The 19,639-nt window shown below is 40.0% G+C and overlaps 1 protein-coding gene and 1 long non-coding RNA gene across 2 annotated transcripts in view, besides 3 other annotated features; one reads left to right on the forward strand and one right to left on the reverse strand.

The window, feature by feature from the left end:
* The window catches only part of HEATR5A (HEAT repeat containing 5A), a 128,763-nt gene extending 123,717 nt beyond the window's left edge, over positions 1-5,046 (reverse strand). The window contains exon 1 of the mRNA NM_015473.4: positions 4,968-5,046. The gene's annotated coding sequence lies outside the window, so the exon portion shown is untranslated. The remainder of the gene's footprint in view (positions 1-4,967) is intronic.
* Positions 4,507-4,626: a silencer, noted in NCBI's record as "silent region_5656". NCBI's record gives its function as "represses an Ori minimal core promoter by ATAC-STARR-seq in GM12878 lymphoblastoid cells {active_cell/tissue: GM12878}" and the evidence as "EXISTENCE:reporter gene assay evidence [ECO:0000049][PMID:35858748]".
* Positions 4,737-4,786: an enhancer, noted in NCBI's record as "active region_8232". NCBI's record gives its function as "activates an Ori minimal core promoter by ATAC-STARR-seq in GM12878 lymphoblastoid cells {active_cell/tissue: GM12878}" and the evidence as "EXISTENCE:reporter gene assay evidence [ECO:0000049][PMID:35858748]".
* Positions 5,217-5,366: an enhancer, noted in NCBI's record as "active region_8233". NCBI's record gives its function as "activates an Ori minimal core promoter by ATAC-STARR-seq in GM12878 lymphoblastoid cells {active_cell/tissue: GM12878}" and the evidence as "EXISTENCE:reporter gene assay evidence [ECO:0000049][PMID:35858748]".
* Positions 5,254-19,639, forward strand: part of HEATR5A-DT (HEATR5A divergent transcript) — a 32,126-nt gene continuing 17,740 nt past the window's right edge. Inside the window, exons 1-2 of the long non-coding RNA NR_110045.1 lie at positions 5,254-5,473; positions 6,340-6,464. This is a non-coding gene — a long non-coding RNA (HEATR5A divergent transcript). The remainder of the gene's footprint in view (positions 5,474-6,339; positions 6,465-19,639) is intronic.

A 19,639-nucleotide genomic window follows, 5' to 3' on the forward strand; every position in this document is an offset into this window, starting at 1 on the left:
TTTGCATCAGTTCAGGTCATGTTTTGCTACCAAATGAATTAAGAAAAAAACTTTTCAGAGCCTTTTAGACTCCAGAATTAGAACTAAGGGATTTTGTACGTGTATATCTGCTTTGCTTTTTTTCTGATTTCCTCCCAAAATAGTTTTTTAAGAGTTTTGGTGATTCAATGGGTAACTTCAGTTTTCTGGTAATTTTATTTACATAAAAAAGGTGTTATTACTTGTTTCGAGTAAGGTATTATTTTGTGTACAGACACACAAATATGCATATATTCAACATGTAGAAACCTCCAAATGCAACAGAAAAGTATATAAATGCTATTGTATATTTACCCATTAAGAAGCATTACTTGGGCAATACAGGACAACTAAGTTACTGAAAAAATACATTACACACATAAAACAACAATTTAGTAAAATTAGCACCATACTATGGGTTTTTTTTTTTCCTTTTCTTTTTTTTTGAGACAGGATCTCAATCTGTCGCCCAGGCTGGAGTGCAGTGGCAGGATCTCAGCTCGCTGCAACCTCTACCTCATGGGTTCAAACGATTCTCCCACCTCAGCCTCCTGAATAGCTGGGACTCCAGGCGTGTACCACCATGCCTGGCTAATTTTTGTTTTTGTTTTTTGAGATGGAGTCTCGCTCTGTCGCCTAGGCTGCAGTGCAGTGGTACGATCTCGGCTCACTGCAACCTCCACCTCTCGAGTTTAAGCAATTATCTGCCTCAGCCTCCTGAGTAGCTGGGATTACAGGCACCGGCCACCACGCCCGGCTAATTTTTTTTTTGTATTTTTAGTAGAGACGGGGTTTCACCCTGTTGGCCAGGCTGATCTCAAACCCCTGACCTCAAGTGATCTGCCCGCCTTGGCCTCCCAAAGTGCCAGGATTGCAGGCATGAGCCACCGCATCTGGTCGATGGTTTTAAGATTGGCAAAAGTATATGTACAGCTTTAAATATTTAAAATTATCACCTTCTTCAAGATTTCCTTCATTTTTGTCACATAACCAGCTCCAATTTCTTAGGCAAATAATTAATATAGTGCTTTAATATGGCCATATTATGCTTCTTTTCTAGAAATAAATATTTTGTGTTGTTACCATTAAAAAAAAAAGAAAAAAAAGCCCAAGCATGATTCAGGATATATACTCCTGTTTCAATCTGTTAGGTATCTGTTTAAAGAGTGCTAACTTTCCATTTGGTTCTCACTGTAAATATGTCTGATTTCTTGTTCAGTTACACTTCCAATAATATTCTGTCTGACCTTATGACCAACTAGGAATCACTAGATTCCTGTTTAAAAAACTCTTTTGAGGCCAGATGTGGTGGCTCCCACCTGTAATTCCAGCACTCTGGGAGGCCGAGATGAGGGGATTCCTTGAGCCCAGGAGTTCGAGAACAGCCTGGGCGACATAGCAAAACCGCCTCTCTACAAAAAATACAAAATATTAGCTGGGCATGGTGGCATGTGCCTGTTGTCCCTGCTACTCAGAGGCTGAGGTAGAAGGATCGCTTGAGTACACTCCAATGACTCTGTCTCAAAAAATAAAATAAAATAAAAATAAACAAATAAATAAAACAAAAAAAACCCTGCTTTGAGTAAAGGTACCTTACTGCTGCTTATGATAAACCCTATGAATGGCATAGTAAAAAGAGAGAAGTTTACTAAACGAAAAAAATTTCCCATACCAGATCTAAATTAAAACTTAACACAGTTGCTAGAGAAAATATAAAAACTCTTCCTCTTCCCTAGACTTACAAAAGGCTAGAGTTGGCCGGGGCGGTGGCTCAAGCCTGTAATCTCAGCACTTTGGGAGGCCGAGGTACGCGGATCACGAGGTCAGAAGATGGGAGGCCATCCTGGCTAACACGGTGAAACCCTATCTCTACTAAAAAACAAAAACAAAAGCAAAAAACAAAACAAAAAAAATTAGCCGGGCGTGGTGGCTAGCACCTGTAATCCCAGCTACTCGGGAGGCTGAGGCAGGAGAATGGCGTGAACCCGGGAGGCGGAGCTTGCAGCAGCCCAGATCGCGCCACTGCACTCTAGCCTGGGTGACAGAACAAGACTCTGTCTCAAAAAAAGAAAAAAAAATTAGATGGGCGTGGTGGCACGCGCCTATAATCCCAGCTACTCCGGAGGCTGAGGCAGGAGAATCGCTTGAACCCAGGAGGCGCAGGTTGCAGTGAGCCTAGATGGCGCTACTGCACTCCAGCCTGGGGGACAGAGCGAGACTCCATCTCAAAAAAAAAAAAAAAGGAGAGAGTTGCCAAAATTATAAAACTTTACACTAGGTAAATGTAGCAGAAAAACCATGCCCTTCCTCTATCATTACACACTGCAGATCCAGAAGCATTTATGAGTCCTACAATTACCTGACATTATAATGAAAAACCAAGATTAATAAGTAAAAGTGAGGCTGGGCGCAGTGGCTCATGACTGTAATATCCCAGCACTTTGGGAGGCCGAGGCGGGCGGATCACCTGAGATCAGGAGTTGGAGACCAGCTTGGCCAACATGGTGAAATCCCGTCTCTACTAAAAATACAAAAATTAGCCTGGCGTGGTGGTGCATGCCTGTACTCCCAGCTACTCGGGAGGCTAAGGCAGGAGAATCACTTGCACCGGGGAGGTAGAGCTTGCAAGTGAGCCAAGATCGCGCCACTGCACTCCAGCCTGGGCTACAGAGCCAGACCCTGTCTCGATAAAAACAAAAACAAACAAACAAACAGAAGAATTAAAACTGAATTTAATCTATTTCCTCCTACAAAAGATTTAGTGATTAAGCACTTAAGAGCTCTAGTTCAGGGGTCCACTAATTTTTTTCTGTAAAGGACCAGACAATACTCTAGGCTTTGGGAGCCATACGGTCTCTATCACAACTACTCAAAAACAAAACATGCACAGCCATAACGAAGGAGCATTGTTGTGTTCAATAAAACTTTTATAAAACTGCCAGCAGAGCAGATTTGACCCACAGGCTGTAGATTGCTGAGCACTATTTTAATTCAAAAATTTAACACTAGAACTAGACAAGGGATCTAATTAAGTGACACAGGCAAGTCTTTACTAAGTTTTTTGGCCCCAGTTAATTGATTTCTCAAATGAGATTTAATAACAGTTTCTCAATGTCTCCTGAAAAAGCAGAAGTGTTATTTATATGAGGACTGTGGTCTCATTAAAGGATTGTTCAAACTCTTCAATTATACTATGGGATAATTAATGAACCACACAAGACTCAATAGAGCTTTTTAAAAAAATGCAGATGTCATTAAACGCTTAATTCAGAATAATTTTAGAATTTAAAAAATTCAGAATTTAACCCTTATGTTATTCATAGTTAAGAAAGACTATTATAAACTACCTCAACCTTTTTGAAACAAAGCAAGAAGAAAGGTAAGTGTATTGGTTAAAGACAAGTAAAAAAATAATTTTTTTCTGTAGATAATATATTCATTAGTTTAATGTAGTTAATTTTAATTAATAATTTAAGAATTAAAAAGGTACTTTGGAGTCATGTATTTTCTGTGACTAAAGTCAGATACAATAATGAATAATACTAAAAAAGTGACCTAATCTAACATCCATAAATAGTGGAGGGAACTTAAGCTAGAATTCAGGTCTCCTGACTTTCAGGTGAGGAGTCTTTTCTTATTCTCCTATTCTATAGTCATCTAGGTAAAACAACTGCATTCCAAGGCACAACAAATCCATACTACAGTATTCTCCAACTGTCACTATTCTTATATTATAAATCCTGCCTGCTTATCAGTGAAGAAAAAAAAAAAGTCAATGGCATTAAAATGTAACACAAATCTCGGCTTCGATACTTTATCTAAAATTACTTTCTCAAAGACATACTTTCTAAAATGTTTGGAAAATTAAACAAAATTCTCCTCTCCCCATCCAACTAATGCTCAATTCTAACCACACTTCTGCTTTCCCTACAGCTTAAGTAATTTCACTGGGAGTATTTTCTCTGGAAGTTCTTAAGTGTACTTGTGGGCCCCTTTTTTTCCTCCTTAAACTTCTAATATCTTTCAGGCTGTAAATTCCTTAAGGGCGCCTAGCCCCAAAAAAGTGCTGCATATTTGTTCAATAAATGAATGCACATAAAAACAATGGATAACTATGACCTTTAATGTAGGAGCTCAAGCCATTTTATTATTATCTGACTTGACAGTCAAGAAAATTATCCCAACTTGCCAGAGGTATCCATTACTGTGATAAATAAACACTATAAAACGCTTTATAAAGTTTCTAAAGACTTTATAATCACTTGAAATAACGCCGCGTTGGCCGAGAGTAGGGTGAAAGAAAATGTTTCCTCACACTAAGCAAATGCCACCAAAGGAAAAGCTTTCTTTCCTGGAGAGAACTGCAACAGTTAGAAAGCAAATATCCACACTCTCCACTGCTCCCTTCTGGGAACTCTCTTTGAGGGTTCCTGCAGAAAACGAACGGGCCTCTGAGGAAGCTCGCCCGAAGGCCGGGCCGGGGCCCGGCTCCTGGCTGACCACTGGCGCAGCGGACGCCGCAGGGCGGGTCCCGGGAGCGGCGAGTTGGCGAGGCGGGCTCCGACTTGCTGACCTTCCCCACACGCCCGGCAACCCCGGCTCCCGCTGGCGGGCAGAGTCCACGCCTACCTGTTGTGCACAGGTGAAGCCAGACTTTCCCGTAGTCCAGGAGGAAGAACGGACCACGCTGTTTATCAGCCGACCCTGTGCCCCAGTCAGCCCCTTCTCGGCGGACTCCAGCCCTTAGGGTCAAGACACCTAGCCCCTCGACCGGTTCTCCCACCGGCTTCTTTCGCGATCACATTGCTGCCGCGACCACCCTCGGGATCCCCGAGCGCTCAACTCATACAGCGGCCCTGGTGCGTTCTCCTTCCCAGCCAACAGGCAGCCCAGACACAGCCCCCTCGCGCCCGGAGGTGTCCCCGCTCCCTGGATCCCCGACTGCCTGCCTTTGGGGGTCCTCCTCAGCTGAGCGTGCGTCCCGGTCCAGCAACGTTACCGGCTGCTCTGCTAACCCTAGCAGAGTCTGGAATTGCCGGCGGCGGCGACAGCGAGGCATTGAGGTGGGCGGGGCGCGCGTGGGGCGTGGCCGGAAAGCTCTCAGCGGCGAGCACCGCGGGAGCTAGCGATTGGGAGCGCGCCCTGCGCCGGGCCGCTGGTCCAAGGCCCCGCCAGCTGGCCGCCGAGCCATCGAGCGCCCACTCTGGCAGGCGTGACTGCTTCACCGTCGAAAGAGCGATGGAGACTGCGGCCCAAGTTAGGATTAGGACAGCGGTTTTTCAGTCCGGAGATTCCGGCCACAACTATTTTTGTCTGTTTTTATCGTAAGCCAGAGTCTTTGGGTGCAGCTCTGGGACACCTAAAGGGCCTGGAGAAATTCAGGCGGGGCCAGTGCTGTGGGGGTAGATGTTAGACGTGGAAGGGACCCTAGAGAGCCTTGACTGTGAGGACTGAGGTAAAGTGACTTGCTCAAGGTCACATACTAAGTCAATGGCAGAACTGAGACTAATAGCCTCTTACCTTGAGTCATGTGCGTTTTCCCACTACACTCAGCGTTTTAAATGTCATTTTTCAAGTTTCATTTTGAATCTATCTCCAGCTTACAAAAAGGTTGCAAGTATAGTACAAAGAACTTTTTTTCCCTGAATTGAGATTTAAATTGCTGACACCATGCCACATTGTCCCTAAGCACCTTCTACATAATCACAATATAACCATCAAAATCAAAACATTTACATAACTCGGCGTTTTACCAATTGTCCCAATAATATTGTTTATGGTAAAAGATTCCGTTCAGAATCAGGCATTGTATTTACTTATCATGTATCTTTCCTACTCTTCAAACTGGAACTCTCAGTCTTGCCTTGCCTTTCATATTCTTGACGCTGTTAAAGATTCCTGGCCAGTTATTTTTGTAGAATGGCCTTCATTTTGGGTCTGTCTGATATTTACTCATGATTACATTTAGCTAGGTATGACAGGACTCTAGAAGTGTTGCTGCTTTCTTCTCATGGCACCCTATCAGGTGGCACGATTTTAACTTCTCTCATTACAGATGTTTACTTTAATAAGGTGATGTCTGTTAGGCTTGTCCAGTGTGGTTACTTTTTTCCCCCCTTTGTAAATTAATAAGTATTTTGTGAGGGAGACTCTGAAACTCTCCTTTCAAGATATTTGTAAATATCTTGTTTCTCATCAAATCTTCAGTTAATGTATTTATATTAATTAGTATGGATCCAGAGGTTTCTATTTTGTTAAATGACTTATAATCCGTTTCTTTCTCTCTTTTCTCTCTCTCTTTTTTTTTTTTTTTTTCTTGAGACAGGGCCTCCTTTGTTGCCCAGGCCGGAGTGCAGTGGCTATTCACAGGTCGATAATGCAATCATGGTGCACACTACAGCCTTGAACTTCTGGGCTCATGTGATCCTTCTGCCTCAGCCTCCCAGGTAAGTAGCTGAGACTGCAGGCATGCACACCACCACACCAGCCAATATTCTGTCTCTATCATTATTTATTTTGATGCTCAATTATCCCAAGTTTGGTGGGTAGGGGCCCCATTCATTCTATCTTCTGTGATATGTGTGTGTGTGTGTGTGTGTGTGTGTGTGTGTGTGTTCAATTTTTTTTTAAGACAAGAAGACAAGGTCTCATATTCATTCTAGCTTCTGTGTTGTGTGTGTGTGTGTGTGTGTGTAATTTTTTTTTTTTTGAGACAAGAAGACAAGGTCTCACTCTGTCACCCAGGCTGGAGTGCAGTAGTCTGATCACAGCTCACTGCAGGCTCAACCTCCTAGGCTCAGGTGATTCTCCCACCTCAGCCACTCAAGTAGCAGGGACAATGGGTGTGCCACTGTGCCTGGCTAATTTTGTTTGTTTGTTTTTGTTTTTGTAGAGACAGGGTTTCACCATTTTGCCCAGGCTGGTCTCGAACTCCTGGGCCCAAGCGATCCACCCGCCTCAGCCTCCCAAAGTGCTGGGATTACAGGTGTGACCCACTGTACCCAGCCTTAAATTCTCTCTCTCTTTTTTTTTTTTTTTTTTGAGACGGAGTCTCGCTCTGTCACCCAGGCTGGAGTGCAGTGGTGTGATCTTGGCTCACTGCAGCCTCCGCCTCCCGGGTTCAAGCAATTCACTGGCCTCAGCTCCTGAGTAGCTGGGATTACAGGCGTGTGCCACCATACCTGGCAAATTTTTGTATTTTTAGTAGAGACGGGGTTTCACTGTGTTGCTCAGGCTGGTCTCAAACTCCTGACCTCATGATCAGCCCGCCTCGGCCTCCCAAAGTGCTGAGATTACAGGCATGAGCCACCGCGCCTGGCCCCAGCCTTAGATTCTGTAAACATTTTATTGTAAAATATTTTTTAATACAGAATAATTAAAAGAGCTTTAAATACCATATACACATAATCCAGATTCAACATTAACAGGTTACCATTCTGAGGCCTTTTGACACATCCCCATCATTCTTTCAGCACTCCCCTAGTTACTAGGGCAATTAGATGTTTCATACTCATCCTGCTCCAGCCTTGGATGTAATCATTTATTCAGGAGCCCTGATTCCTTATAGCGGAGAATGGTATTTAGCACTAGGTATGCTCACTGCTATTGAGATATCCATAGCCCAGGCTGTCTGAGTGGATGCAGTTAGGGAATATTTATACATTCATACACATATACAGCACATCTTTATATGTATCCTTACACACACATTTACAGTTATATTTCTTTGTCTAACAATATATATTGAAAAATCATGTGTTCACAGTAAAACCTCCAATCCAGCATCATACAGTTCATTCTAGTTTTTGCCCTTCCACATTTATAACTACTTTCTCCTACAGAGAGAAGCCTGGCTCCCATTATCCTTGAGATATTTACTTATTTGAACAACCCTGCTATGTGTGAGCAATCATCCATAGTTGCCATCTATTCCTTTGGAGGATACTGCCCTTACCCCACTAAGGTTCTGAAAGCCCCAAATTAGCCATCTCAAGCCCCTCTCTCATCTTTCTTTCCTTACCATCACTCCCACACCCTGTGATCATGCCTAGCCCATAAACCCTGCCGACAATGCTCAGACCCAAACATCCCTTGCCAAGCATCCCCCTTACCTCACTTTATATAGATTAGACATACACTATATATAATCATATATATTAGTTATATATTCTTTACAGCACCCTATATACACATACATACATTCAATATATAGATTAGTTATATATCTCATATATTCATTATATATTAATTTTTATAAAACCCTATATATACACACACTATATATGTTATATATCATATATATTTGTTATATATATTACTTACAGTACCTAAAACATGAATCACATATATAGTGTGTATATCATGTATATATGTATATATATAGTGTGTATATATACAGTGTGTATATGTATATGTAAAGAATAATATGCAAGACATATATTGTGTACATGTATACAGGATATTGTAAAGTACCCTAAAAAAGGAACAAAACTATTATAGGATCCTGAAGGAGAGAGCAATTACTATGAAGTACAGCTGGGAGGCTCATGAAGGGTTTAAAGAGATGACATTTAAAATGGGCTTTGAAGGACACATAAGGATGGATGAGTAGAATATATGCTATTAGATATTGAAAAAACTCTGGACCTTTTAGCAGGCTCAAAGCAGAGAAAGAAATTCATTTTGCCTGAGTACACGGTATGAGAATAACAACATTAGAATTTCAGAATTGGAAGGGATATTATGTATCGAGTCCAACTAATAGTTTTACAACAGATTCAAAGATGGCTCCAGACTTTAAGCTAAGTGACTAAGAGAATGAAATTAGAAGGTGGAGTTTGGAGGGGAAGATAATGAGTTTAATTTTAAACATTTCACATTTGAGGTGACAGTAAGGCATCCAAGGGGAAATGAGGGACTACAGCTTAGAAGAGGGGTCAGAGCTAGAGAAGAGGAGTCAGAGCTAGAGATGTAGAATCCGAATTTTTCCACCTGGTGCTAACAACTGACAGCACTCTGAAACAAACACCAATGTTATCATCTTAACCAAATGGAAATGTGTCCCACTGTTCAACTACCATTATAGTTTGATTATACTTTGTTTAATTTTAAATGGAGATTTTGAGTCACAATAAAGAAGCTGTATTATAGGTAGCAGAAAGAACATAGCTTTGGAATTGGTGACTTGCGTTCAAATTCTAATTACACCACTTAGTAGGCATGACCTAGGGAAAATCACTTCATATCTCAGAAGCTCAATTTCCTCACTTGTAAAGTGAGAATACTATCTCCTTCCCTGAGGTGTTCTAAGGATTTGAGATATAATATATAACTAGCATGTTATATATTACTTACAGAAGGTGCTCATCAGATATTTGATGAAGGAATGGAGAATTTGATATACTTCCTACTTATTTTATACTCACCACTATAAAGCATTATACTGCATTTTCTAGGCTTTGTATAACAGAAAAATTTTCCCACCAATAAATGAAACATTTTTAGAAGTATAACAGTTGGTATTTAATGGTATATGTAAAAATATTGAAGTAAGCCAGTGGTTACCCATTTAACTTGCTATGTGATATCCTGCTATAATTTATTGTTCAAATATAACTAATTCAATGATTTTTGGTTCCAACTAGCATACATTTGGGAAACTGAAAATGATAGATTACCTTTAAGATTACTTCTATTTCTGAAATTGTAAAATTCAATGATGGTAGAACAATATTACTCCAACAATGGAATTCTAGTGTACCCATGGAACTCTAGGGTCCTCCTCTTGATGGTACCCCTCAAGAGGTTAATAGGAGTTCCTTTAAAAAGGCATTCTTGGCCAGGCGCAGTGGCTCACGCCTGTAATGCCAGCACTTTGGGAGGCTGAGGTGGGCGGATCACGAGGTCAGGAGATGGAGATCATCCTGGCTAACACGGTGAAACCCCGCCTGTACTAAAAATACAAAAAAAATTAGCTGGGTGTGGTGGTGGGAGGCTGAGGCAGGAGAATGGTGTGAACCCAGGAGGCGGAGCTTGTAGTGAGCAGAGATCATGCCACTGCACTCCAGCCTGGGCGACAGAGCGAGATTCCATATCAAAAAAAAAAAAAAAAACATTCTTAAATAAGTCTGAGAAGCACTACATATTAATATATTATAGCCATTTCTTAGAGAGTCGTTATGTATATTAGTGGGCTGCATTTGATGCAATGTTTCACAAACTTATTTGGAATATAATATCCTTTTTTTTTAAAAAAGGAATGCATATTAATAAGTTTTAGAATGAATGTTTCTGGGATCAGACTTTGGAAAATGCAGCTTTGGAAGTTTGTTATTAGTGATCTACTCCAGTCATGCCAGGTTGCTCAATGTTGATGGAACCACTGAGGAGACTAGGCTTCACATGTGGCAAACTCATGTCACAAAATTCATGGGTAGGCACAGCTTCCACTCTGTTGATTTCAATGTGATCTGAAGCCTGAGATGACACCAATACCCTACTCTAACAAAAGATCTGCTGGCCCTTTGTGATACAGCTTTCCACTTTGTAGTCTATGAAGCATTATTTGTCAATATACTGCTGAGCTTGCTGTAATCTGTGACAGCTTTTAGCACTAAATTTCTAATGAGAACTTTTGGCAATGGATAGGATTTCCCCCAGTAGCAAACTACCACTATAAATATTCAGTTCAAGAAGTGCTTAAAAACAGAGTAGCAGATCTTGACCTATCATGGCAAGTAAGAGCAAGCCATTTAACCTAGAAAGAAACTGTTAAACTCAGAGCTGGTGCTTCTAAGCAGGAATACTGAACAAAGGTAGATCTGCAACTATGTATTTGGTAACGCTTGACACTAGAAATGACTGCAATTGTGTTCATACCTAACAAGGACTCCTAAGGCCCCTCCCAAATCCTCATTCTCTGATCAGATGAAGAAATACAGTGCTTTATATGTGTGTATAAGCTTTATGGTTTTGTTCCAAACTTGCTGTAATATTTTATAAGAAAGCCACTTAACCTCTTTGAACGGTGCTTTTCTCCTATGGAAAATGAACATGTTATATTAGGGGGTCTCTTAGGGGTTATCCTCTGATTTTATCTTTTTGTTGTTGTTGTTTGTCTTATTTATCCTCTGATTTTATGAAAATCATTCTTCTGGTTTTCATAAAAAAGGGAAAGAGACTTCAGGAAGTCAGTGTTAAGATGCTGTAACCTGGAGTGGGAGAGAAGACCCTGGAGATTGCCTCTGGCTACTGCTTTAATATAGTTTTCACCTTGAAAGGCAGGAAGGATGTGACCCTGAAGGGGTGAGCACCAGGACAGGAAGGTTCCAGTGGAGAGGGGGAGGATCAGGCAGCAACACACCTGCAGTGGCCAGGGACAGCAGGTTCTGCATAATGGAATCTGTAGCAGACTTTAAGAAGTGGGAAGGTGGTGTTTGTGGGGAATCAATAAAAGTCGGGCTAAACGGAATTAAAACAAAGTCCTTGGTCTGCTCATCCATGTTTGCCTGCCAGAAAGTCCCTGATGGGAACCACAGGAAACACTATCATAAGCCAAATTAATCACAAAGTTAATCTATCAAGGTGAAGAAGCAAAAGTTAATGACCTTCCAGCTGAGTTCTAAAAATGAGCCAAAACTCAGAGAATGGGATAGCTCAAGCCAGAGCTAGGACTGAGGAGGAGGGCCATGTTAATTAACTATTATACAAACCCTCAACTTCTGCCACAAGCTCTTTAGGAAAGTCAACTGTTTTACATGCTGACAGGTAACTGAAGAAAGTAAGTTAGTGCTTTTATTCATGGATGCTTCATCCTTTAGGAGTAGCATATAAGGACCCCCACAGAAATCCTATTCACCAGTTGGATATATATTTGATATGAAAACTAATGAAGGATGATCATCCACTTCAAAGTTAAATGTTAGAATAGTAATCACACAAGACAACATTAAGACCCAAATAATTTGTAATAAGATTCATAATTTAAGATTATTTGTCGGCCGGGCGTGGTGGCTCATGCCTGTAATCCCAACACTTTGGGAGGCCGAGGTGGGTGGATCACGAGCTCAGGAGTTCAAGACCAGCCTGGCCAACATGGTGAAACCCCGTCTCTACTAAAAATACAAAAATTAGCAGGGCATGGTGGTGTGCACTTATAGTCCCAGCTACTCGGGAGGCTGAGGCAGGAGAATTGCTTGAAGCTGGGAGGCAGAGGTTGCAGTGAGCCGAGATCACGCCACTGCACTCCAGCCTGGGTGACAGAACGAGACTCGGTCTCAAAAAAAAAAAAAAAAAAAGATTATTTGTCTAATTCAAGAAATTGAACTTATCCAGCAAGCTGGCTCTACATAGTTGATAAATAATATTCTTGTGGAATTATTTTATATATAAGGAAAAACTATATACCTATTATAAAAATACCTATAGAAATTATCAGTTACTATGTTTATGTATATAGATCTATTATTATCTTCTTTGGGACATATGATTCTTGAAGAAAATTCTAATAAAAATTAGTCATATATCAAACTTCTTGTTTAGCTACAAACTTAAAGGCAAAAACCCTATCTAGATGCAAACATTCAACTGACCAGTATGAACAATAGCTAGAAATTGAATTACCCATGTAATATGGTTAAGGTAATCAGTGGAGCCAGAGTCGTAGATCTGGAAGAAAAAGAAAAATGTTAATAATATGGAATAGAATTATATACTCTTGAATTCAATTTGCCAGCCTACAAGCATTCACAGACCAGAGCACAAATCCACTTATAAACCATACTTGCTTATCTTAATAATATTTTATTGACTTACACATTTTCTCCTGTTGTTTGCTTCCTTTCCCTTATATTGTCTGAGACCAAAATCAAGAAAGACATTTTCTTAAATATATGATAAAATATTAAGTTTTTAAAAAGCAAAATATTAAATTCCTTTATTCTAATTGAACTATATTAAAATATGTGTATGGTTATGAACAACAATTATAAGAGATTAAATAAAAAGGAAATAATTGTATTTGAATCATGAGATTAGGAGCTCTTTTATCTTTTCAATATTTGTAGTTGTTTTACTGCCTTTTTTACAAAAAGAAAAAGGGCAAAGCATTTTTTAAAGTTTTCTCTTTGTAATATGCTGATGCAATTTTTCCTACTTTGGAAAGGTACTTGACACAGAGTAAGTGCTCAATGTAAACTTGTTGAGTAAGTATACAAAATGGCAACTAAAATTGCTGGCAGATTTCCTTTAGGGAGAAGCTAAATGATGGTACTCGCCATGCTGAGGTAAGGATAAAATAAGTCAGGATTTACTCATCCACCTAGCCAGGGGCCTCCAATTGCCTATCCTTGCTTCCTTGAGCTGGAATTAGAGATTTATTAGGAGGGTATCCATATAATTTAGTGTCCATGGGGACAGTTCTTAGAGCAAGAAGAGAGCTATTAAACACACTGCTTGGTTCTTAGATATAACACCTAAAACACAAGCAACTAAAGAAAAAAGTTGATAAATCGGACTTCATCAAAATTCAAAACCTTTGTAATTCAAAGGACATTATCAAAAAAAATTAAAAGATAACTCATAAAACAGAACAAAATATTTTCAAATCATTTATTAGATGAGTCTAGTACCCAGAATATAGGGCAGAACTTTTTGGTTTTTTTTTTGTTTGTTTTTGAGACAGAGTGTTGCTCTGTCTAGAGTGCAGTGGCAGGATGTTGGCCCACTACAGCCTCTGCCTCTTGGGTTCAAACGATTCTCCTGCCTCAGCCTCCCGAGTAGCTGGGATTTCAGGCGCCCACCATCACACCCAGCTAATTTTTGTATTTTTAGTAGAGACGGGGTTTCACCATGTTGGCCAGGCTGGTCTAAAACTCCTGACCTCAAGTGATCCACCCTCCTCGGCCTCCCAAAGTGCTGGGATTACAGGCGTGAGCCACCAACCAGCCTGAAAAAACTCTTATTTATTTATTTATTTTTTATTTTTTAAGAGATAGGGTCTCATTCTGTCACCCAGGCTGTAGTGTAGTGGTACAATCATAACTCACTACAGCTTCAAACTCCTGGGCTCAAAGGATTCTCCCACTTGAGCCTTCTGAATAGCTAGGACTACAGGTACATGCCACTACACCTGGCTAAGTTTTTTTATTTTTATTTTTGTAGAGATGGGGTCTATGTTGCTCAGGCTGGTCTCGAACTCCTGGCTTAAGTGATTCTTCTGCCTTGGCCACCCAAAGTGTTGGGACTATAGGCGTGAGCCACCACGTCCAGCCCCAAAGAACTCTTATAATCAACAATAAACCCAATTTAAAAATGGGCAGAAGATATGAATGAACATCTCTCCAAGGAATATATACCAAATGGCCAATAAGCACATGAAAATATGTTCAACTTTGTTAGTCATTAAGGGAACAAATGCATAGCAAAACCACTGTGATACCACTTCACACCCACTATGATGACTATAATTTTTTAAAACTGGAAAATAGGTGTTGGTGAGGAAGTACAGAAACTGGAACTCTCATATACTACTAGCAAAAGTATAAAATGATACAGTTGTTTTGGAAAACATTTTGACAGTTTCTCAAAGAGTTAAACATAGAGTTACTATATGACCTACCAATTCTACGTCTAGGTATATACCCAAGATAATTAAAAACATATATCCACACAAAAACTTGACCTTGAATGTTCATAGCAGAATTACTCCAAAAAGTGGAAACGATGCAAATGTCTGCAGGCATACCTCGTTTTATTGCATTTCACCTTATTGTGCTTCACTTTTTTTCTTTCCTTTTTTTTTTTTTTTTTTTTTTTACAAATTGAAGGCTGTGGCAACTCTGTGTCAAGCAAGTCTAGTGGCACCACTTTCCCAACAGTATATGCTCACTTTGTGTCTCTGTGTCACATTTTGGTCATTCTTACAATATTTCAGACATTTCCATTATTATCAGTTATGGTGATCTGTTATCACTAATCTTTGATGTTACTATCGTAATTGTTTTGGAGCATCACAAACTGTGCCCACAGAAGATGGCAAACTCAATAAATGTTGTGTGTGTTCTGACTGCTCCACCAACCAGCCATTCCCCACATCTCTCTCCCTTTCCTTGTGCTTCACTGTTCCCTGAGACACACAATATTGAAATTAGGCCAATTAATAACCTTGCAATGGACTGTAAGTGTTCAAGTGAAAGGATGAGTCACATATCTCTCACTCTAAACCAAAAACTAGAAATAAATTAAGTTTAGTGAGGAAGACATATCAAAAGCCAACACAGGCTGAAAGCCAGGCCTCCTGGGCCAAACAGCCAAGTTATTAAATGTAAAGGAAAAGTTATTGAAGGAAAATAAAAGTGCTATTCCAGTGAACACATAAACTATAAGAAATCCCAGCACTTTGGGAGGCCAAGGCGGGTGGATACCGAGGTCAAGAGATTGAGACCATCCCGGCCAACATGGTGAAACCCCGTCTCTACTAAAAATACAGAAATTAGCTGAGTGTGGTTGCGTGTGCCTGTAGTCCCAGCTACTCGGGAGGCTGTGGCAGGAGAATCACTTGAAATCAGGAGGCGGAGGTTGCAGTGAGCTGAGATCGCACCACTGCACTCCAGCCTGTTGACACAGTGAGACTCCGTCTAAAAAAAAAAAAAAATGCAAAAGAGGCCGGGTGCAGTGGCTCATGCCTATAATCCTAACACTTTGGGATACGGTGGTAGGCAGATTGCTTGAGCCTAGGAGTTTGAGACCAGCCTGGGTAACATGACAAGACCCTGTCTCTACAAAAAATACAAAAGACAAAACAAAACAAAACAAAAATTTGGTGTAGTGTTGCATGCCTGCAGTCCCAGCTATTCAGGAGGCTGAGGTGGGAGCATCACCACTTCAGCCTAGGAAATCGAGGATACAGTGAGCTGTGATCATACCACTGTACTCCTGCCTGGGTGACAAAGTGAGACCCTGTCTCAAAGGAAAAAAAAAAAAGGAAGGAAAGCAAAACAATGTTATTGCTGATATGGAGAAAGTTTTAGTGGTCTGGATAAAAGAGCAAACCAGCCACAACATTCCCTTAATCCAAAACAAGGCCCTAATTCTCTCCAATTCCATGAAGTTTGAGAGAGATAAGAAGCTGCAGAAGAAAAGTAGGAAGATAGCAGAGGTTGGCTTTTGAAGTTTAAGGAAAGAAACCATCACCAAAACATGAAAGTGCAAGGTGAAGCAGCAAGCGCTGATGGAAGCTGCAGCAAGTTATCCAGAAGACCTAGCTAAGGTTATTGATGAAGGTGGCTACACGAAACAACAGACTTTCAATGTGGACACAACAGCCTTCTATTGGAAGAAGATGCCATCTAGGATATTCATAGCTAGAGAGGAGAACTCAATGCCTCCCTTTAAAGCTTCAGAGGACAAGCTGACTCTCTTGTTAATGGCTAATGTGGCCAGTGACTTTAAGTTAAAGACAATGCTCATTGACCATTCTAAAAATTCTAGGGCCCTTAAGAATTATGCTCAATCTACTCTGCCTGTGCTTTATAAATGGAACAAAACAAAACCTACAAAACAGCATGTCTGTTTACAGCATGGTTTACTGAATATTTTAAGCCCACTGTTGAGATCTACTGCTCAAAGTGAAAGATTCCTTTCAAAGTATTACTGCTTATTGACAATGCACCTCATCACCCAACAGCTCTGATGGAGATGTACAAGGAGATGGATGTTGTTTTCCTACCTGCCAACACAATATCCATTCTGCAGGCCATGGATCAAGGAGTCATTATGACTTTCAAGTTGTCTTATTTAAGAAATACATATTATAAGACTACAGCTATCATAGATAGTAATTCCTCTGATGGATCTTGGCAAAGTCAATGGAAAATCTTCTGGAAAGGATTCACTATTCTAGATGCCATTAAGAACATTCGTGATTCATGGGAGGAGGTCAAAATGTCAATATTAACAGAAGTTTGGAAGAGGTTGATTCCAGCTCTCATGGATGACGTGGAGGGATTCAAGACTTCAGTGGAGGAAGTAACTGCACATGTGGTGAAAATAGCAAAAGAAGAGAATTAGACGTGGAACATAAAGATGGAATTGAGTTGCTGCAATATCATGATAAACTGGAACAAATACAAATAAGGAGTTGCTTCTTTTTTTTTTTTTTTTTTTTTTTAACAGAGTCTCCCTCTGTTGCCTAGGCTGGAGTGCAGTGGCACAATCTCGGCTCACTGCAACCTCCACCTCCCGGGTTCAAGCGATTCTCCTGCCTCAGCCTCCAGAGTAGCTGGGACTACAGGCGTGCACCACCACGCCTGGCTAATTTTTGTATTTTTAGTAGAGACGGGGTTTCACCATATTGGCCAGGCTGGTCTCGAACTCCTGACCTCATCATCCACCTGCCTTAGCCTCCCAAAATGCTGGGATTACAGGCATGAGCCACCGCACCCGGCCAGGAATTGCTTCTTATGGATGAACAAAGAAAATAGTTTCCTGAGATGGTATCTACTCTGTGAAGATGCTGAAAACATTGTTGAAATGACAACAAAGGATCTGGAATATTACATAAACTTGTTGATAAAGCAGTGGCAGGGTTTGAGATCATTGATTCCAGTTTTGAAAGAAGTTCTACTGTGGGTAAAATGCCATCAAACAGCATCACATGCTGCAGAGAAATCTTTCATGAAAGGAAGAATCAATCGATATGGCATACTCCATTTTTGTCTTATTTTAAGAAATTGCCACAGCCACTCCAACCTTCAGTAACTACTACCTTGATCTGTCAGCAGCCATCAACATCAAGGCAACAAGACCCTCCACCAGCAAAAGAATTACAACTTGCTGAAGGCTCAGATGATCATTACCATTTTTTAACAATATTTTAAAATTTAGGTGTGTACATTGTTTTTAGACATAATCTATTGCATACTTAATAGACTACAGTATAGTGCAAACATAACCTTTATGTACACTAGGGAACCAAAAATTTACGTGACTCCTTTTATTTTGATGGTCTGGAACTGAGTCCACAGTATCTCCAAGGTATGCCTATATTGACTGATGAATAAACAAAATGTGGTATAGCCATACAATGGAATATTGTTCAGTTACAAAAAAGAATAACATTCTGATACATGCTACAACATAGATGAACCTTGAAAATATTATGCTAAGTGAAAGAAGTCAGACACAAAAAGACAAGTATTATATGATTCCATTTATATAAAATGTCCAGGATAGTCAAATCAACAGAGACCAAAAGTAGATTAATGGTTGACAGAGGCTGAAGGTAGGGAGGAAATGGGGAGTGACTTTAATGGGTACAGGGTTTTTTTTAGATAAAGAAAATGTTCTGGAATTAGTGGTGATGCACAACCTTGTACAACCTTTTTGCAATATAGTGCAATAAGACAATATTGTACAATCTTGTTTATATACTAAAAGCCATTAAATTACACACTTTAAAGGGGGTGCATTTTATGACATGGGAAGTGTACATTAAAAATAAATAACTATTCCCTAGCAAGCTGACTAAAAATAATAAAAATAAAAAATATATTAATACATAAATAAGTAAGCTAGGACAATGGGATGAACTAAAACTGAATGTATGAATATCCAAGATCTGGCACTTAATGTACTTCCGGTTCCTAAAGATAAATAACTGGAGAATGCTGGGGTTGAAGAAGACGCCCAAATGTTTTCCCCACAACAAAATGTTTAAACCTGAAATCAGAAACTTTAAAGGAGAGGCTATACTAATGTTACATATAGCTTCCAGATCATCTCAATTTTGCTTCATCTCCCTAAACAATATGAAGACAAAATTTAGTGGTTTCATTTGATTTGTGTCACAATCTTTATCTTTCTTAAACAACATTTCAGCTGTAATTAGTGTTTTGGTTGTATTAACATCCCTTCTATCTCTCAATTTCTTTGCTTTGTCTCTCCCAAACAATATTTAGCTGAAAATTAGCATTATCATTCCATTCATATTCCTTCTGTTTCTCATCTCCCTGAAAATTTTGGTTACTTCTCAATGCCCTATCTCCTTCATAAGTCCCTCTAGTCACTTTTTTCTTTTCTTTTTCCCATAATCAGCTTGTTCTTGCTCCTAGTAATTCCATGTTATTTTTCTAAAATACCTTTCTGTTGTTAATAAACTTTCCTATACTCCTAGCCTTTCCTTAACAATCCTTTGATTGTTAAGGAAATCATAATCTGATGTTCTGCTGGTTCTATATTAGGGTTTTCAGGCCCTTACTCTCGTCTACTCCCCCACTGAAGTTCACATCCTCTTGAAACATCACTTTCTCCCCATCCTCAGCTCTACCATTTGCTGACCTTCATACCACACTCTCATAGTGATTAAAGATTTGGGCACAGAATTATGGGTATTTCTGTCTGTTCTGAGTCTTATCATCCCAGATTACCTTTACTGTAAGGTAACCAGTATTTATATTTCTAATATCCAATGACATAGTCATACAACATATTAGCTTTAATTTATTTATTTGAGAAAGAGTCTTGTTCTGTTGCCCAGGCTGGAGTGCAGTGGCGTGATCATGGTTTACTGCTGCCTTGATCTCCTGAGCCCAAGTCATCCTCCTGCCTCAGCTTCCCAAGTAGC

This window comes from Homo sapiens, chromosome 14 (genome assembly GCF_000001405.40).
Source record: "Homo sapiens chromosome 14, GRCh38.p14 Primary Assembly".
NCBI lineage: Eukaryota > Metazoa > Chordata > Mammalia > Primates > Hominidae > Homo > Homo sapiens.